The sequence below is a fragment of the Homo sapiens genome, chromosome 9 (assembly GCF_000001405.40).
Source record: "Homo sapiens chromosome 9, GRCh38.p14 Primary Assembly".
Classification (NCBI taxonomy): Eukaryota; Metazoa; Chordata; class Mammalia; order Primates; family Hominidae; genus Homo; species Homo sapiens.
Window position 1 is genome coordinate 1,271,109 of NC_000009.12, and position 6,000 is coordinate 1,277,108.

The window sequence follows — 6,000 nt, forward strand, 5'->3', positions numbered from 1 at the left end:
GGTCTATTCTGTGGTTTTTCTTTGGGACTGAATATAGACTGTAGATTCCTCCTACAGGCTCTGGGTGGTTTGGGGTAGACCATGGACATGTTTGGTGCTCTTGGTCATCTGAAGTGCCCACAGTTCCCACCCAACACTGGTATTTGAGATACTCTATATATTAGTTGCTATCTACTTATTTTTAGAAGTACTGCTTACTGATAAAATAGCATTATCCATAATAATTAACATATTGTTTTAGACATCCGAGTTCCTGAAAAAATGCTGTTTTCGGTGCTTAAGAATTGTAGGACAATGGAATCTCTTTACCCTCTTCCCTATAACTTTTTTTTTTAAAACAAATACTTCTATTAGAGAAATTCTAAACCTCATTTTCCAAACTTGATAGATTTGGGAAAATCATTACTTAGCAACAGACCAAACAGAAAACCCTTCTCCAGCCTGTCATTGAGAAACCAGATGAATTGCTTCCAACGTGGCCCCACCTCCACCACAGCCCTTTCCTGTGCCCTCCCCTCATACACAGGCTCTGCCCTGTTCTACCCACCCTCTCACAGCCACCACCCTCTGTTCTCAGCAATCTCCCTGCTTGACTTGTCTATTCTTCCCAATCCAGCTCTCTTCCTTGCCTTTCCCACAAGGACTCAGCTGACTGCTCCTGCTCACCGACTTCATTCTTTCTCTGGACTCCTGTTACACTCGTGTCAGTTCTACATAGCTTAGTATTTGCTTGTGTGTTCTCTAATAATATTATGTCAATTTTATTTTTTCAAACCTTTGCATCTAGTAGTAGTAGTTACAATTTATTAAGTCCCGTTATGTGTTAAGCTCATTAATTATGTGCATGACCTCTAACTGTCACAAGAACTCTGCCAAGTATTGTTGTCCCATTTTTAAGGCTAATAAGGTGGAAGTGAAAAGTGGTTAACAACTTGCCCAAGTGGTAAAGCCTGAATTGAAACCCAGAACTCTCTGATTCTAATTTTCATGCTCTTAACATTTGTCTCAGCCCTGCCTCTCAAAGGCCAACACTATATTGTATATTTTTTGTATATATACACATTTTTTTGAGACAGGGTCTCGCTCTGTCGCCCAGGCTGGAGTGCAGTGGCGTGATCTCAGTTCACTGCAACCTCTTTCTCCTTGGTTCAAGGGATTCTTGTACCTCAGCCTTCAGAGTAGCTGGGATTATAGGCATGTGCCACCACGCCAGGCTAATTTTTGTATTTTTAGTAGAGACGGGATTTTGCCATGTTGGCCAGACTGGCCTTGAACTCCTGACTTCAAGTGATCTGCCTGCCTTGGCCTCCCAAAGTGCTGGGATTACAGGCATGAACCACCACGCCCAGCCTATTTTTCTTTTAGTTTCACATTATTTAGCATACAACTGGGTACAGAAGAGGTGACATATAAATTCCTGAATGCCTCTGTAAGGCTTTATATAGCATTTTGTGTTTTCTCATAATGTTTCAACACAGATGTTTAAAAACTCATCTTCTGTTTAACATTTATTGAGTGTAATTTTCATGCCAAAGCCTGCACCTGCTGCTGTGGACACAGAGATGAGTAAAGTGGGGTCCTTATCTTCCAGGTGCTTACATACCAACCATAAAATCTAATATAACTGGTGCGTTATCCGGAAGGATTGCCCTTGGGCCTTATTTTGATCACTGGTATTGGATTTGTGCAGATGCAGCCATTTTCTTCCAACTTCATGACAAACGTGAATTTTTGTGATGTTTTGCTAGAACCAATCTGTAACAAATATACAAAAAGTAGGAAATCCACATGAATGGAAGAATCCATAACTTTAACCAACTAAGCAGTAATACATAATTGATCTTTTGCATTTTTGGAATATTTCTCTGTAATGGTATGCATGATATGAGTTTAGGTTGTCCAGGGAGTCAATTCTAATTATCTTTAAACAAAATGCAGTGTCTGGACATGGAATCACTAACTACTTTGCAAGGCTAGTATTTTAAGAAATTCTTGGTTCAGTGAAATCTTATATTGATGTTTCAAAATTCCTTAACTTTTTAAACTCTTAGAAAAATTTTAAATGCTGTTTAGGAAGTCTTTGTTGCTATGCCTCTCCTAAGAATAAACTACTGATGATTTGTAACACATATTTTTTCTTCTTTAAAACTCAAGACCTTTAAAATTTCTAGGAATGTTCCTAGATGTATTCTGTGTAGTTGAAATTTTGTGACATCTACCTGGAGAAGTGGAAAGTTACATTCGAACACAAAATGCTGGAAAGTTTATAGTGTATGAAATGTATTTTCCATGTAGTATTCTCAGTGTAGATGAGCAGTCTTTCAAGGAAATTCCCAAACTCTAAGCCATACCAATTAAACGATACATATTTAATTCATAAGAAAATTACTATGAAATGATTAACTTTCCTTTAAACATTTAAATCATTACTTAATTTAAAAAGTGAAATAAACCGTAAGTTTTTAGGGGATTATCTATATTCTGAGTATAGCACAGTACCCCTTGCATTCTTCCTGGTATGTTGATATATGGAGAATATACAAACTGTGGGCTAAATTGAGACACACATTAAGTAGAAATATTTTATTTTTCTGTCATTTGCATATCATCACACACAAAATTTTATGTTGTGATTCTGTTTACTCTTTTTAGCTTCTGACTTCCAGCCAACAAGATTTTCCTTCCAAATTTGCCCTGTTTTATTGAGTTGAAAGATTTGTCCCTCTCATGTAACCTGGTCTGGATCTTCCTATAAGAAATTTGCAGTCGTGCCATGAAAAATGCTTGTAGCACAGACATATGCAAAGTATTACCACTTTGCTTTAATCACCAGAGCAGAGTCACTCCATGAATAATTCGAGCCACTAGCATCCTGTTGAAAGCCAAGACCTCTGGGTTGTGAGTCATCTGTTCTTTTCTGTGGCAGGTGTTGGGGTCAAACACTTTGGATCTTTACTATGGTTTGTAGAAAGGACAGTTAGCCATGTATGTTCCTAAGCTGCTGCGGTTAGTGCACTTTCATTAGATGAAAGCTCATTTGAGGTGGTTGCATCCTGGAGGAGACAGTTTGCTTTTCTTTCTGCAGACCTGAGTTTTACGGTCTCTCTGTAGTATTTCATATGGAAGCAGCTGTTGATGGATTCTAGTTCCTCAGAGTTGGACATTTTATCTGAATCACAAAACCACCAAGTGATTTCACATGAGAATAAACCTGTCAAGGTCTGTTTTATGGAGAGCCAGGTATGGACAATGGTTGGACAGGCCAGTGCTGCTGCCACCTAGATCCCACATTCAATTTGGTTGAATTTTGATATTAATATTAAGTAATCGTCAGGCTGAGAGTAAGTGGGGATACTCTAGTACAATATTATTGTTTAAAAGAGAGTAGCATGAGTACATGAAATCCCAATTAAAAATGATATACTATGACTGAAAAATATCATTCATTCAATTCCTTTGTTCACTCATTCATTCATTCAATCCACTCTGATTAGTGGCAATCAGGAGGTTTATCATAAGTTATGATACTAATTTGTAAGTGGCATATTAATTGATTTTATACGTGCAGATGCCTCAAAAATTCCTGAAGGCACTAAAAATTTCTCCCTAAAGATATATAATACATAAAAATATAATACAGGATAATTTCTCGAAATGCCGTTTTTTCCCTTTCTTTCTGGTTAGGATCTTGAAAAAAGTTAAAAAGCAGTGATTACATTCAACATATGGTGTTGGGAAAATGGAATATCAACAAGCAAAAAATGGGGTTTGACCATTATCTAACATCATATACAAGCATTAACTCAAAATGGATCAAAGACCTAAATGAAAGATATAAAATTATAAAATTCTTAGAAGAAAACATAGGAAAAAATCTTCATGATGTTGAATTTGGCAATGGTTTCTTGGATATAACACCAGAAACACAGGCAAGAAGAGAAAAAATAGACAAATGGGACTTCACGAAAACTGAAAAATTTCGTGCGTCAAAAGACAATATCAACAGAGTAAAAAGACAACCCATAGAATGGAAGAAAATATTTGCAAATCACATATGGAATAAAGGGATTAATATCCAGAATATACAGAGAACTCCTAAAACTCAACAACAACAAAAACAAACAACTGGATTCAAATGTAGGAAAAGGACTTGAATAGGTACTTCTCCAAAGAAGATATACACGTGGCCAGTAATGGCATGTTAAAAAGATGTTCAACATCACTACCATTAGGAAAATGCAAATCAAAACTACAATGAGATGCCACCTTACACCCATTAGGAGTGACTACTATTGCTACTATTAAAAAAAAAAAACCAAAAAACAAACTGAAAACAACCAGTGTTGGCAAGGACATGGAGAAAGATGAAATCCTTATGCGCTTTTGATGTGAATGTAAAATGATACAACCACTGTGGAAAGCAGTAGGACAGTTCCTCAAAAAACAAAAATAGAATTACTGTATGATTTAGCAATTTTGTTTCTGGGTATATACCCCAAAGAATCGAAAGCAGGATCTCAAAAGATACTTGTATACTTATGTTTATAGCAACACTGATTCACAATAGATAAAATGTGGGAGTGACCTAAGTGGCTGCCAATGGATGAATGGATAAACAAAATGTGGTATACACAATACCATGAAATAGTATTCAGCCATAAAAAGGAAGGAAGTTATGACACAGGCTACATTATGGATGAATCTTGGGGACATTATGCTAAGTGAAATAAGCCAGTCACAAAAAGACAAATACTGTATGATTCCACTTATGTAAGATACTTAGAGTAGTCAAGAGCATAGAAACAAATAAAATAGTGATTGCCAGGAGCTGAGGGAGAGGAGAAAGGGGAACTATTGTTTGATGGGTATAGAGTCTCAGTTTATAGAGATGAAAATAATTTTGGAAATGGATGGTGGTGATGGTTACACAACAATATGAATATATTTAATAACACTGAATTGTACACTTAAAAATGGTTAAAGGCCAAGGTAAGGAGATTGCTTGAGGCTAGGAGTTCAAAAACAGTCTGGGAAACATAATGAGACCCTGTCTTTACATAAATAAATAAATAAATAAGCTAGCCATGGTGGCACACATCTGTAGTCCCAGCTACTCAGGAGGCTGAAGTGGGAGGATTGCTTAAGCCCAGGAGTTCGAGGCTGCAGTAAACTGTGATTGCAGTAAGCTGGGATTGTACCACTGTATTCCAGCCTGGGCTGCAGAGCAATACCCCATCTGTAAAAAAAAAAAAAAAAATTTAAAAATAGCCAAGATGGTAAATTTTATGTTATGTGTATTTTACGCCAATAAAAAAAAATGTGATAAGCAGCAATGATTCCACCGTCTAGCAACCATAGGCAATGTCTATATTTTTGCCTCTCTTGCCTCAGGATAGTTAATAGCTTCTTTGGATTTTTGTGATTCTCTAGAGAAAGTCTCCAGCAAGTCTTTGGAAGCCCTGGGGTTTCAAAGGGAAGACGCTGGAATTTCCTGTGTGTGGTGAACAAGAAGTGTGGTCAACTCAGGAGCTGACCTGGGCCTCCTCCTGTGCCATGTCACAGAAACAGCAGGCCCACTGAGGGGGATGGCAGTGTGAGTGTTGGGGATGGGACGCTAAGTGAAGTTTGCCTTGCAAAGTAGGCAAAGGACCTGGGGCAGAGCCAGAAAGAGAGGGGAGATGTTGTGAGCAGAGCAGTTGCTGCCTTCAAATGGTCCATGCTTGCTTGGACAAGGGCATCTCAGGGGTGACCAGTGAGATGCTCCTTCCAATGACAGAGAACCTTCATCCATAAAAGTGGGAAACTATCATAAGGCCCTCATAGATGGTAGAAGGCATATGGTAAAATATTTGATTTAAGTGCTTTGTATATGGTAAACAATAACTATTTGCCATTTTATTATTTTATTTCCTTTTATACTCTTATTTGTCAAACTTAGGTATTCTGAAGGGTTTTTATGAAGGGTTTACCAACCAAAGGCAAACTTCAATCTGGCCTGTG

At 37.5% G+C, this 6,000-nt stretch overlaps 1 annotated feature.

The window, feature by feature from the left end:
• Positions 2,639-3,140: an enhancer, noted in NCBI's record as "NANOG hESC enhancer chr9:1273747-1274248 (GRCh37/hg19 assembly coordinates)". NCBI's record gives its function as "activates a minimal SCP1, AML or CMV promoter by ChIP-STARR-seq in naive H9 embryonic stem cells {active_cell/tissue: H9 hESC(naive)}" and the evidence as "EXISTENCE:reporter gene assay evidence [ECO:0000049][PMID:30033119]".